The sequence below is a fragment of the Homo sapiens genome, chromosome 15, assembly GCF_000001405.40.
Source record: "Homo sapiens chromosome 15, GRCh38.p14 Primary Assembly".
In the NCBI taxonomy this organism is placed as follows: domain Eukaryota; kingdom Metazoa; phylum Chordata; class Mammalia; order Primates; family Hominidae; genus Homo; species Homo sapiens.
Window position 1 is genome coordinate 76,564,601 of NC_000015.10, and position 15,183 is coordinate 76,579,783.

The 15,183-nt window shown below is 36.9% G+C and overlaps 1 protein-coding gene across 26 annotated transcripts in view, besides 2 other annotated features; it reads right to left on the minus strand.

The window, feature by feature from the left end:
• The window catches only part of SCAPER (S-phase cyclin A associated protein in the ER), a 557,437-nt gene that overhangs the window by 216,697 nt on the left and 325,557 nt on the right, over nt 1-15,183 (minus strand). For 25 of the 26 annotated variants that reach the window (NR_148227.2, XR_007064448.1, XM_017022273.2 and 22 more), the window contains one exon: nt 9,558-9,684. Coding sequence is in view for 24 of the 26 variants with exons in the window: in XM_017022273.2 (XP_016877762.1) it covers nt 9,558-9,684 (127 nt within the window). In the remaining 2 variants the exon portion in view is untranslated. Of the gene's footprint in view, nt 1-2,669; nt 2,806-9,557; nt 9,685-15,183 lie in introns of those variants that run through there. The other variant, XM_047432630.1, reaches the window with a different exon arrangement.
• Nucleotides 10,975-11,024: an enhancer, noted in NCBI's record as "active region_9882". NCBI's record gives its function as "activates an Ori minimal core promoter by ATAC-STARR-seq in GM12878 lymphoblastoid cells {active_cell/tissue: GM12878}" and the evidence as "EXISTENCE:reporter gene assay evidence [ECO:0000049][PMID:35858748]".
• Nucleotides 11,035-11,084: an enhancer, noted in NCBI's record as "active region_9883". NCBI's record gives its function as "activates an Ori minimal core promoter by ATAC-STARR-seq in GM12878 lymphoblastoid cells {active_cell/tissue: GM12878}" and the evidence as "EXISTENCE:reporter gene assay evidence [ECO:0000049][PMID:35858748]".

The window sequence follows — 15,183 nt, forward strand, 5'->3', positions numbered from 1 at the left end:
TTAGATTCAATGCTATTCCCATTAAACTATCATTGATATTCTTCACAGAACTAAAAAAAGAAAAATTTTTTTTAAATTCATATGGAAGCAGAAAAGAGCCAAAATAGCTAAGGCAATCCAAAATAAAAAGAAGAAAGCTGGAGGCATCATGCTACCCAACTTTAAACTATATTACAGGGCTACGATAACCAAAACAGCATGGTACTGGTACGAAAACAGACACATAGACGAATGGAACAGAATAGAGAGCCCAGAAATAAGGCCACACACCTACAACTATCTGATCTTCGACAAACCTGACAAAAACAAGCAATGGGGAAAGGATTCCCTATTGAATGAATAGTGATGCAATACCTGGCTAGCCATATACAGAAGATTTAAACTGGACCCATTCCTTATACCATGTACAAAAATTAACTCAAGATGGATCAAAGACTTAAATGTAAAATCCGAAACTAAAAACCCTGGAAGACAACCTAGGCAATACCATTCAGGACACAGGCAAAGATCTTATGATGAAGACACCGAAAGCAATTGCAACAAAAGCAAAAACTAACAAATGGTATCTCATTAAACTGAAGAGCTATTGCACAGAAAAAGAAACTATCAAGAGAGTAAACAGATAACCTACAGAATGGGAGAAAACTTTTGCAAACTATGCATCTGACAAAGGCCTAATACCTGGCATCTATAAGGAACTTTTTTTTAATAAGGAACTTAAATTTACAAGATAAAAACCAATAACCCCATTACAAAGTGGGCAAAGGGCAAGAACAGACACTTTTGTAAAGAAGACATACAGGCAGACAACAATCATTTTTTAAAAAGTTCCACATCACTGATCATTAGAGAAATGCAAATCAAAACCACAATAAGATATCATCTCACACAGTCAGAATGGCTATGATTAAAATGTCAAAAAAATAACAGATGCTGGTGAGGTTGTGGAGAAAAAGGAATGCTTATACACTCAGTTTGATGACGTCTGACTACTGCTCACAACTATCTAAGCACCACCCAAAACAAAATACACAACACTTTTTAATCACCCTAGAAATTTCCTTATGCCCCTTTCCAGTAAATTCTCCTTCTCTCAACACCTGCTTTTTGTTGTTTCTTTTTAAAAAATACAAACCATTTATAAGTTAAATCTGTCATATTCATGAAATAACAACTCAATTTTTCTTTATAGTAGTCTTCCAAGGGAAGCTAGCTGAAAAACGTCTGAAAAACATCTTCATTTTACTTTGGGCTATATACTTGTCACCTTTTGACAAAATATGGGTGTCATACCAGCTATATTCAGTTATGTATCAGTTGCAATGAGGAAACAACTATGTAAGCTGAGAACATAGTGAAGGGATCAAAAGAGATTCCTAGTGTTGAATGCTTCCCATTTCTTCAGCTGAAGAATTCCAGCTGAAAATAAGAGAAGCAGAACCACGGGGTTTGGAAGATGGGCAGTGTCTAGCAGGATCTGAACACAGTTTTCTGAATATAATTAGGTTGAAAAAGCTCTTAAGGCTTACTGATTTATCTCTCTGAGCCTAGGCATGTGTTACATAGTCACAACAGTTGGCAAAAAGAGGAAAATGGTAGGGAAGAGTTTCTACCTTTCTACCTTATACAGGTATCGGTGAATGGAATTTTACAAGATAAGTTTTGAAAATACCAAAGCATGGCATGGTTTGCTATAGGTATTATAATGTAAATTGTGATTTCACATATCTCAATTCACTTCAAATCATCAATGCTGCCAGCTATGTGGTTTGCTTATTCAGATTCGAAAGAGTCACAGCTGAATCTCTATTTAAATTTGGCAGGATTCTATAAAGTCAGGAAAGGCAATTGGACAAACTCCATGTCCAATCCATCTGCTTAAACTGTTTACTTATAGTAACAGCATACACATGTCTCATGTTACTGATAAACCACAGAAAAGGTTCTGGGATGCTGTTACTATCCAAACCTAAATGTAATGCTTATCATCACAAAGTAATGAGAAAAGTCAATGCAAATACAGATCGCATTCACTTGGACCAAATTTAATACAATGGTAAGACTAAGGAAAATACTTTTGCACATGTAAGAGTATTTTTTAAACTCTTTTTTGAAATAATTGAACATTTCTTCAATAAAAAAATTTCTTCAATTTTGAAATAACATTTCTTCAATAAAAAATTTCTTTTATTTGGAGCAATTTATTTTACCTTAAATTCTAAAAATTAATTTTATTATTAAACATAAACATACAGAAAAGTCAGAAAAATTAGCAAACATGTATGTACAAGTTAAATAATAATTTTAATTTGAACACTGTGTAACCAGTATCCAGTCAAGAAAAAGAAAACTAGAAGCACTGAAGAAGCCACCTATATGACTCTTTCTGATCACACATCTCACCCTTCTCTCTGAACAATCATGATCCTGATTTTTAGGAAATTTCTTTTTCTATTTTCTTTATAGTTTTACCACCTATGTGTATATTCCAAAACAATATAAGTCCTTTTGTCTTTTCTTGAACTTTATATGACTGGAATTGTAACAGTATATATATTTTTTGGTGACTTGTTTCACTAAAAAGAGTTTGTGAGATATATCCATATTGTTATCCACAGATGTAGTTCATTCATTTTTATGTTGAATAATAGTCCATTATATGAACATACCATAATTTGTATCTCCAGCTGTTGATGGATTCTTGCACTATTTTCCATATGTGGTGATTATAAACAATGCTGCCATTGAACATTTGTGTATATCTTGCCTGGTGGATATATGCATTGCTTTCCATACAGTATATACCTAGAAGTGAAATATGATACACATGTCTACAAATTTAGTAGACAACAGCAGACTGTTTGCTACATGGTAGGCTCAACTTATGTTATCACAAACATTGTCTGTATGTTCCCACTGCTCTAGTTCTTTGCCAATACTTGGTATTTTCAGTCTAATTTTTGTCATTCTGATAAGTGAATCACATTATCACATTGAATTTTTAATTTGAATTGTCCTGATTATTAAAGAGGTTGACTATCTTCACATTTATTTTTTAGCTATTTGGATTTCTTTCAGAATGCCTATCCTCTTGACCATTATCCTACTGGTTTAGTTTGTTTTTGCATTTCATTAATTTGTAGGAATTCCTTCTATACTCTGGATGCCACTCTTTTGTTGATTATATATATGTAAAATATTCTTCCCTTCTATTGCTTGTCTTGCTACCCTCTTCCTGGTGCCTTTTGATGAACAAAAGTTCTTATTTTCAGTGCAGCCCAATTTATCAAGTTTCCCTTTATTGTTAATTTCTTTTGTGTCATTTTCTTGTCCAGGTAAAACTCTGAGGTAAAGAAGAGATTAGTCTATATTATCTTCTAAAAATTAGTTTTTTCTTTTCATATTTAGATCCATCTGGAATCAATTTTTTGTTTATGATGTGAGATAGAAGTAACATTTTTTAAAAAACAAGGATATTGAATCATTATAGCCTTTATTCACTAAATAGAGCACACTTTCCCACAACGTTTTGTGGTGCTTCCTTTTTCCATATGTGCATAGACAAGTACCTCACATGTCATGGATCAAGCATATATATATATATATATATATATATATATATATACAAATGGGACTGTTTATGAATTCAATTATGTTCCATTCTTCTTTTTCTCCGTCTTGTCTCCAATAGAACACTATCCTAATTACTGTGGCTTTATAAAAAGTGTTTATACTTGGTAGAGCAAATCTTCCCATATCGTTCCCTCTCCCTGCGCCACAAGTCTCTCTGTGTCGCCCAGGCTGGAGTGCAGTGGCGCGATCTTGGCTCACTGCAACTTCTGACTCCTGAGTTCGAGTGATTCTCCTGTCTCAGACTCCCAAGTAGCTGTGATTACAGGTGCCCACCACCACACCTGGCTAATTTTTTTTATTTTTAGTAGAGACGGGGTTTCGCCATGTTGGCCAGGCTGGTCTTGAATTCCTGTCATCAAGTGATCCACCCACCTCAGCCTCGCAAAGTGCTGGTCATATTGTTCTTTTTCAACAGGGTTTTGCATACTGTTTCATTGGATCTTTGAAATTCCATATTTTAGAATCTGCGCCTACATATTGTTCTTTAGAAATTCTAAATAGTGTTTTAGAATTTCCAAAGAACAAAGTGTTGGACTTTTAAATGAGATTTCACTGAATCTACAAATAAACTGGGTAGAAAAGAAAAATATACTATAGTGAGTTTTCCAATCCATAAACATTATAGATTTACTCCTAGATATTTAATATTTTGATAATATATAAATATAATTGATTTTTATATACTGCCCATTGTCTAGTACCCTTGTTAATCTAACTTATTTGTGCTATTTATCTGTAAATTATTTTAAATTTTCTATATATAACATATCATTTGCTAACAATGACTATTTCACTTTTTCTCTCAAATCTTACAACTTTTATTTATTTATTTTTCCACTAGTTAGAACCCCCATTTTAAGCAGACGTCTTGACAGTAAATATTTTTGTTGTACACAATTTCAAAGGGAAAATTTTCAACATTTCACCAGTAAATATTATTTTGCTATAATTTTTTTGGTAGATTCAATTTGTCAGATTAAGGAAATTCCATTCTATTCCTGGTTTACTATGAATCTTTATCATTAATTGATGCTGAACTTACCAAACGCTTTCGTTGTGTCTTTTGAGATGATATTTTTCCTTTTCTTCTGTTAATATGATAGATCATAATTTTCCAATGTTAAAGCAAACTTAAATATCTTGAATAAATCCAACTTTGTTGTGATATATTATCCTTATTAGATATTGCATGATTCAGTTTGCTAAAATTTTGTTTAGGAATTCTGAATCCACATTTATGAATGAGATTGGTTTATAATTTTACTTTCTATAGTTTCACTGTGACGTTTGTGAACATGGATTTCTTTTTATTTACCCTGCTTGGGCATCATTGGGCTTCTCGAATCTGTAAATTGATTTGTAAGTTTTGGAAAGTTCTAAATGATTATCACTTCAAATACTTCTCTCTTCTCCTTTTGGAGCTCTAATTATACATAAATTAGACATTTTCATCATATATTATATCCTTTTTATACTCTTCTTTTCATTTTCTATATCTTTTTCTCTCCATGCTCAGTCTGGATTCTTTCTTATGATCTATCTTCCAGTGCTTGCTTTATTCTACTGTTACCTCACCTATAATTTTTGTAATTTTTATTACTAAAATGTTCAGTTTTCAAATTCTGTTTTCTCAAATGTGCTATATATCTTTAAAAATAATTAATATTTATATCTTTGATCATTGTAAGCATAGTTCTGGAGCATCTGTAGGTCTGTTTCTATTGGTTTTTATGCATGTTGTCTTGTCCCTTTGTATGCTTAATTACCTTACTGTGCCAAACACTGCATTTGAAATTTATTTTGTTGAGATAATTTGAGACTTAGGTTGCTATTATCTTTCTCCAAAATAAATTTTCCAATTGCTTCTGTTAGCCACCTGGGGTATTAGCAATTTAGGATCATTTTAATCTTTTTTCAGTGATTTGGATTTTCCCAGCCACCTACATGATTTGAAACTGAGCTGTCTGTGTAATGACTGGTGTACTTCCTGTCTACCCTTTTTCCTTGCACAGTCCTTTAAGATCCCAAACCAAAACATGAGTTTTTTTTGTCATAGTCCCTACCATTGATTGTCCTAGATGCCAACATTTTTTTTTTTCTCACCAGTCCTGCAAACAGTCTCAAAAGTACTAATCAAACTCATGTCCACTTCTTTTTGATCATCAACGGTACCTAGTCCCAAAATGCCAAATTTCTGGATCTTGGCCCAGTAATTATTCACTACTCTGTTTGCAGTTCAGTTTTATTTCATATTTTATCTAGTTTTATTGTCATCAGTGGAAGGACAGTTCTGAATTACCTGTCACTATTGCTAAGTCCAAGTCCATTCCTATAGAAATTTTCAAGCTTACCTTTTATTTCCTCAGAAGATAGCAGGCATAGTTTTATAATCTGTGACTAGTAATAACATAGCCTTGCAGTTCTAGTTTCTGCTTACTTATCATGACTTACTTACTTTCAGGCTTATCTTTTCCCTATGGCTACTTGTCCTTGTAAAATTGTTTAACAGAAACTATCTGAGGCCTAGAATGAAGGTGTCTTCTTCCAATGAGGATTTGTCTTCTCTTCTGCTTGATTCCTAAAGACACTGCAAATCAATCTAGGACAACTTTAAACCCAATTCACCATCTGAAATAATATGGGTGATGTGAATTTGAGCAGCAAATCTATGCCAGGGGTTGGACTATGGGTATAAATTCTGCATTGTGCCAAGGTGCTTTCTTCATAGTCCTGAGGGTGGGATAAGAAGGTTCATGATTATGTGATGGAGTAGGTTAATGTGGTCTTATCTTTATGAAAGGAAAATCGGAAAAATCTCCTATTAGACCTCATACCTAGGCAGCCCTTATACTTTTACTTTCATCACCTTACACGATGACACTTGTAAACCACAACTCACATTTGCCAATCTGGCACATGCTTTTTGGGGCAATTAAGTTATAAGCACAACTTTCTAAATTCTTGCTTTTTCTGTGGACTGGGAATTCCTTAATTACTTCTTAGCTATTTGATGCTTTTAAGAAAACTGCTTTCTTCCCCACCTAGCATTTTCAGTTGTTTTTGTTGGGAGAGTTGATACCCAGTACCCTAGACCAAAGTATGTTAGTAAACAGAAGTGGCTTAAGATTTTTTTTAAAGCATAACACATATAAAAAGCTTACACACTTTTAATTTCTGAATGAAATCAGAAAACCCAAAAAACCAGAAGGAACCTGAAATGCATAGTAAGTACTACAAAACCCAGGTCTCCTCAGTTTCCTGACCCCTTCCATGATAAGAGCGTTACTATACATCACAAGTTTAACCCGTTAGGTCTAAAATAGTTCTCAGAACTTTAGAAAAATTATCTAAAGAAACAGTGTGTCAAGCGATAGTAGAAAGCATCCATGTTTTGAGGTCTAAATTAAGCAAATAAAGACGTCAAGATTCATCTCTCACCATTCCTCCATCAGTGCTTACACTTGCCCAAGTTCCACCATCCTACCTTGTCACTTCTAGACTATCTTCAAATATCCTTCACTGGGTACCTGGCTTTGGCTCTAATGAGTTTGTTACTCCAGGCAGTTTTCCAAACAAAAAGGAATGGCTATTTACAATTCCTAGACTGAAATCATAAATATCATCAGCTGAATTACACTGAAATGTCAGTATTACTCTATGGAAGTCTTCATAAAGTGAGTGTGTGTCTTGGCTAGGTAAAAAGGATTTTAGTTATAAAAGTAGCAAAAGGATCTTATTGTAGGTAAGTCTAAACTCTTAGGTGGTCCTGCAGTGTATACTCTGAGGACAGCTTTACAGCAAGTTTCTGACACAGACCATTTAGACTGGGAGCCAGACAACATTTTTCTTCCCCAAATTATAAGAAATCAGTGGTATTTCAGTAAATTGCCCCTTTGTGAAGGAAATAACTTTAGGTAAATTTTCATACTGAATACTTTCTTATATAGATCATTTTGCCTTTTCCTCAAAAGTTCTATTACTTTAATCTAAAACAATATTCATGAGATAAGATACGTGTAGCAGTGTCTTCAAGCAATTGCCTTTTAATTCAAAGTACTCTATACTTTACAAAAATAATCAGTATATAAATAATTTTTTAAAAGATCAGAGATTTTTCCTAAAGCACATTAAATCTTTAAATACTGCATTCTAGCAAATGTGTGACAAGTACTAGTTTCTGAACCTCTGATATCCTGAAAGGGATGTGTTACACACAAGAACTGACTTTACAGCTCTGCCACAATGCCACACTGAATAGGCTGCTTTCGATTCCTCCAGACGACTGTACTGTCTGATGCCAAAATGTAGTTGAGCACTATCTTGCAAAGTTGGACACTGATATGCCTGAGAACCCCACAATTCCACCATTGAGGCATATGCCCTAGAGTAGAGCAGTGATTCTCAAAATATGGTCCTTGGACTAGCAGCATCAATATGACTTAGGAACTTGTTAGGAATACAAATTCTCCAGACCCACCCTAAACCTACTTAATCAGAAATCCGGGGCAGGAGCTGGGGGCAGCAATCTGTGTTTTAACAAGTTCTCTAGGCAATTCCGATGTAGACGAAAGCCTGAGACTCCCAGCTTTAAAGAAGTTCTTGTTTATTTACTTTGATACAAGAATGAGCAGCACTGTTTGCCCATGCTTGCGTGCACTCTCTCTCTCTCTCTCTCTCTCTCTCTCTCACACACACACACACACACACACACAGAGAAATGTCCACTGTCAGAATAGATTTAAAAATTGTATTAACACAATGAAGGACTTACTCTACAGCAGAGAAAAGCAGTGACAAACAGCTATATTTATAAGGCTAAATAAAACTTAGAACCATAACTTTGACTGAAAAAATAATTGTAGAGGTCTATTGTGCAATATTTTATAAAGGTCAAAGCCAAGTAACATTATTTAACAAAACATTTATGTGATAAAGCAATAAAGCTATTTCTAAAAAACAATGATACACCTTTAATTCTGTACAGTATTCCCTTTAAAGGAATCATGAATGTGGTAAGAAAGGATCATATTGGGAAACACAAATGTAGTGGTAACAATCTTACTCTAAATTGGGTGGTGAGTTCATAGCTGTTCACTGTATTCATATTATTTTTTATTAATATTTCTTTTGTACATATCAAATATTACATTACAACCTTTAAACCCAGAAAACAAAACAAAACAAAAACCCAAAAACTACAGCTAATAAATGAAAATAGCCATTACTTTAAATAGAAAATTAGAAACCACCTAAATATTATACATTATGTAAAATGTGATATGTTCATTCCATTAAAGATTTTTAAAGACATGATAAAGTATTTATGATAAAATAATGTAAAAAAGTCCAATAAAATGTTTGGAAGAAGATACAATAAAATGTTATCAGTTGCTATTACAGGAAGTTTTATTTCTTCTTTGTACGTTTAACATTTTCCTATAGTGAATAATAAATACTTTAAAAATCACTGAGGATATTTAAACTATAATTGAGATATTTAATGATTCTAAGTCATTAAAGAAAACTGCCAAATCTGTTGGAATCAGGGGATATTGGTGTTTTGTAGAAATCTGGTTGTGATTTATGAGGCTTTATAATTCAAAGTTTTCTATTTTCTGCCATAAAGTCATACATCTTTATTATTGTGATTCCTGACAAAATAATTTCAGTTTATTTGTGTGAGGAAAACATGACTGAGGAAACCATGACCTAAAGAGGACTTCAATTAAAAAAAAACCTGAAAATAGCTTCAATTAAACAACTGAAAAGAACAAAAGTAAAAAAAAAAATTCATCTATTATTGACTAGCTTTAAAAAACACAGAAGAAAGGTATATACTGAGTCTGCCTTATAGCTCTATGTACTGTCATAGTGAGAAAGGATCACAAAGATTAAGGTTCAAAAGCCAGATATTAGTTACACACCTCTTTTTCCAGTATTCTAGTGATCTCTCCTAGGGTCCGATCCAAAGCAGACACTTTATTGTTTGCCCATGAGCCACTGTCTTGAACTTGTACTTGTTTTAGAAGATCTTTGGCTAATCGCTGAAGCCTTTAATACCAAATGAAAGGAAAGAATGACATTAATGAAACAGACTATAATCTTCATTTCCCAAAACACTTTGAAACACAAGTTACTTTCAGTATTGGATTTGAAAATGCTTCACAGAGCATCTGAGGGGAGAAAAAACCAGACAACCAATAAAGCTAGTGTTATTTTATATTCATGACCACCAATTCATTCTTCATGGCACAAAACAGAACTAGAGGATAGTATTATCAATCTACAGGATTAGCTAGAGCAATTGATGCCTTTAGTTTCTGTATGATTCTTAAATTAGAACAGAATTAGGAAGGGGGAGAAGGCCAGAGGATGAGAGCAGAGAAAATGAGTATAAGAACCTGAGCAGGTTTTTATATTTTGATTTAAATCTTCGAATATTATTAGCTTTATAAACTCTCAGAATGTTGAACTTCCAAATGTTTGTTTACAGGCAGTTTGGGGATAGTCTGCTACTGCTCATATCATTTACTTAGACGACAGAACATTTATTTAGTTTTCACCAAGAAATACCACATTATACCTAGACTGTAAGAGTCTTCATTCAGATCACTGTGTGCATTACTTCTTTGTGGCCCCTACCTGGTACCTCACTCTTGGAGCAACCCTCCTCTGCTTTCCACTTATTTACTTGAGAATCCACTAATAGATGCTCACCAGATCTCCCCACTTTTCCCCTATATATCATCCCCGTTGCCTTAAATTTTTATCTGTGGTAGATTCCACAGTACATCATTATAATCATTTTCTTGCAAATGTCCTACATTTCCTCTCTGTTGTTCTGTTTTTTACTCTTCTTAGACAAACCCCAGCCGTGGTAATAATGTTTGTTTAGCTCTTACTATGGGCTAGGCACCATTCTCAATGTCTTGCATGCATTAATTTCTTTAGCTGGATTAATGAAAACAACTGGCAGACTTTTCCATTTCTGAACCTGGCAGGGGTGGGGGTGTGGGGGGAGTCAGACCATGCAAAATACTGGTAGGACTACTGATTCAAGATCTTATTAAATCTCCCTAGGGTGTTCATTCTCCCACTATCCACAAAGGTTTGCTTCATACATTCCCCACTCTCTTCAAAAGTCCACCCTTTCCTTTCTCTCTTTTGCTTTCATAAGATGATCCTACATTTCAAAGAGAAAACAGAAGTTATTGGAACAAGAAAATTTTCACTTTCGGCCATAAAATCTACAAGCTTATCTGCATTTCACTCATCTTCTTCTCTGTTCCTCTTATTACAGTCATTCCTTCCAGACAGGACTAATTTCACCACACAGGATGTATGCATGAGTTCTTTCTGGATCTCAAGCTCTCTCTTCTTCCTGTCTCAGGTCTTTCTGCAATGTTCTTCATCTTTTCCTTCTGAAATGCTTCCTCCACTCCCACATTACCTAGAACATTACTATTTATCCCTCAGCTCTTAGCACAAACATTACTTTCTCTGATTTGACTATTTCTTCAAAGCACTCATCATAAGAGAATTAAAAATACTTACTGAACTAACTGTTTAATGTGTGCTTCTCCTATGCAAAGCTTTACAAGGGAATTTCCTGAAGTGATAGAAATATTCTGTGTTTTTACTGTCCAACATGGTGGCTAGAAGCTATTGTATTGAACAGTGCAGAAGCAGAGTATTAACTTCATGAGCGAGGTGCTCGTCTATCTGCTCACTGCTTTATCCTTATCATGTAACATGCTACTTTTACATAAGTACACTCATTAGATATTTAATAAATTCATGTCCTACAGAGAAAACTTCTTCTTTACATTAATTTTAACAATATCCAGACCAAGGATGGTGGTTCATGCTTGTAATCCCAGCACTTTGGGAGGGCAAGGCAGGAGGTTCACTTGAAGCCAGGAATCTGAGATCAGCCTGGGTAACAAGGCAAGACCCAGTTTCTACAAAAAATAAGAAACTATTAGCTGGCAATGGTGGCGTGCACCTGTAGTCCTAGCTACTCAGGAGGTTGAGGTGCGAGGACTGCTTAAGCTCCAGAGTTCCAGACTGCAGTGAGCTTACAACACTGCGCTTCAGCCCGGGCAACAGAGTGAGACCTTCATCTCTAAAAAGAAAAAAACCCAATAACTTCATAGGTTACAAAATACTTTCATGTACATGATCTTATTTAATCCTCTCAACAACACTGTCAATAAGTATTATCCCTATTTGAAAAACGCAAAAACTGATGCAGAGCAAGATAGCCAAATAGAAGCCTTCACAGATGTCCTCCATACAGGAACACCAAATTGAACAACTATCCACATAAAAAAGTACCTTAATAAGAACCGAAAGTTGTGTGAATCACCACAGTACCTGATTTTAACTTCGTATCACTGAAAAAGGCACTGAAGAGACAGGAAAGACAGTCTTGAAATGCTGATGCCACCCCTCCCTCCTACCCTGGCAGCCACCCTGTGGTGCAGACAGAGAGTCTATGCACTTGGGAGACAGGAAGCACAGTGGCAGTGAGACTTTGCCTTGGAAATCAGTGCTAGCCTGTTACAGTGGAAAGCAACAGGACACAATTCAGCTGGCCCCCACAGAGAGAGCATTTATACCAACCTTAGAAAGCGGGGAATCGCCCATCCTAGCACTCGGAACCTGAGTTGCAGGTTAAAGTGTTCTGGGGACCTAAATAAACTTGAAAGGAGGTTTAAGCCACAAGAACTGCAATTCCTGGGCAAGTCCTGGTGTTGTGCTGGGCTCGGAGCCAGTGAACTTGGGAAGAATGTGACCTATGAGACCAGCCAGGGCAGCCAAGGGAGTGTTTGCACCACCCCTCTCTCAACCCCAGGCAGCTCACAACTCTGGTACAGACTCCGTCCCTATGCTTGAGGAGAGGGGAGGGAAGACTAAAGAGGACTCTGTGCCAGGCACAGTGGCTCATACCTATAATCCCAGTGCTTTGGGAGGCTGAGGCAAGCGGATTGCTTGGGCCCAGAAGTTCAAGACCAGCCTGGGCAACATGGTGAAAGCCCGTCTCTAGCAAAAAATACAAAAATTAGCTGGGTGTGGTGGCACACACTTGTAGTCCCACCTACTCAGGAGGCTGAGGAGGCAGGATCAATTGAGTCTCAAAGATCAAGGCTGCAGTGAGCTATGATCATGCCACTGCGCTCTAGCCTGGGTGAAAAAGCAATACCCTGTTTCAAAAAGAAGAAGAAGAAGGAGAAAAAAAGAGGACTTTGTCTTGCAACTTGGAAACCAGCTCAGCCATAGTAGGACGGAATAACTGGGCAGAATCCTGAGGCTCCCATTCCAGGCCCTAGCTCCTGGATGGTATTTTTAGACATATCCTGGGCAAAAAGGGAATGGGCTACCTTAAAGGGAAAGACCCAGTCCTGGAAGGATTTGTCATCTGCTGACAAAAGACTCCTTGGGCCCTCACGAGTTAGCAGTGGTAGCCAGGAAGCACTCGCCAAGGGCCTTGAGTGAGACTCAGAGACATGATGGCTTCAGATGGGATACAGCCCATTCCCAGCTGTGGTGGCTACGGGGAGAGACTCCTTCTGCTTGAGAAAAGGGGAGGGAAGAGTACGGGAACTTTGTTTTGCAGCTTAGGTATCAGCTTGACCACAGTAGGGCAGAGCAACAAGAGGGTTCTTGAGGTCCCTGATTCCAGGCCTTGGCTCTTGGATGGTATTTCTGCACCTGAACTGGGCCACAGGGAAGCCACTGTCCTGAATGGAAGGCCCAGGCCAGGCAGCATACACCACAAACTGAATGAAGAGCCCTTGGGCCTTGAGTGAACACTGACAGTAGCCAGGCAGTACTCACCATAGGCCTGGGGTGGTGGTGGCCACAGGAAGAGACTCCTATGACTATAGAAAGGGGAGGGAAGAGTGGTAAGGACTTTGTCTTGTGGTTTGGGTGTCAGCTCAACCACAGTAGAACACAGCACCAGGTTGATTCCTAAGGTTTCTGACTCTAGGCCCTGGCTCCTGGATGGCATATCTGGACCTGCTCGGGCCAGGCAGAACTTGCTGCACTGAACGGAAATACATAAGCCTGGCGGGTTTTGCTACCTGCTGATTGCTGAGCCCTAGGGGGACTTGAGCAAACAAAGGTGGTAGCCAGGCAGTGGTTACTGTGCGCCTTGGGCGAGACACAGTAATCTGTGCTTCAGGTCTGACCTAGCACAGGCCCAGTGGTGGGGGCTACAGGGGTGCTTGTGTCAACCCTCATCCAGCTGCAAGCAGCTCAGCACAGAGAGAGAGAGACTCCATTTGTTTGGGAGAAAATAAGGGAAGAGAACAAGAATTTCTGCCTGGTTGTCCAGCAAATTCTTCTGGATCTTATCCAAGACCACCAAGGCAGTACCTCTACGAGTCTATAAGAGCCATAGTGTTACTGGGCTTGGGGTTCCCCCAAATGCAGATATAACTGCAGTGGCCAATAGCTTAGGTTTCAACACCCAAGTCCCTTTGGATACCTGGAAAACATTCCCAAGAAGGATGGGTACAAACAAGCCTACACCATGAAGACTACAATAAATACCTAACTCTTCAATCCCTAGACACCTACAAACACCCAATATGACCTCACCTAATGAACTAAATAAGACACCAGGGACCAATCCTGGAGAAACAGAGATAAGTGACTCTTTCAGGCAGAGAATTCGAAATAGTTGTTTTGATGAAACTCAAATTCAAGATAACACAGAGAAGGAATTCAGAATTCTATCAGATACATTTAGCGAAGAGATAAAAATAATTTAAAATAATCTTTGGGAGGCTGAGGCGGGCAGATCACAAGGACAGGAGATCGAGACAATCCTGGCTAACACGGTGAAACCCTGCCTTGACTAAAAATACAAAAAATTAGCTGGGCATGGTGGCGGGTGCCTGTAATCCCAGCTACTCAGGAGGCTGAGGCAGGAGAATGGCATGAACCTGGGAGGCGGAGCTTGCAGTGAGCTGAGATGGTGCCACTGCACTCCAGCCTGGGTGACAGAGCGAGACTCTGTCTCAAAAAAAAAAAAAAAAAAAAAAAATAGTAACTACAACAACAATGTTTTAAGACATAGTACAAGAAGATATGAATAGAAACAACAAAAAGTGAAAAAGCAGAGGGATGAAGTTAAAATGTAAAGTTTTTATTAGTTTTTTCTTTGCTTGTTTGTTATTTAGTTTTTTTATGCAAGTAGTGTTAAGTTGTCATCAGTTTAAAATAATGGGTTATAAAATATCAATTGCAAGCTTCGTGGTAAACTCAAACCAAAAACCACACAAAAGATTCATAAAAAAAAAAATAAAAAGCAAGAAATGAAAACACATTGCTAAAGAAAAATCACCTTCACTATGAGAAAGAGAGAAAGGAAGAAAAGAAGGAAAAGACCACAAAATAACCAGAAAACAAATAACAAATAAGTCCTTACTTATCAATAACTGGATGTAAATGGAATAAGCTCTCCAATCAAAAGGCATGTAATGGCCGAATGGATTAAAACAAGAAGATCCAACTATTTGTTGCCTACAAGAAACAAAT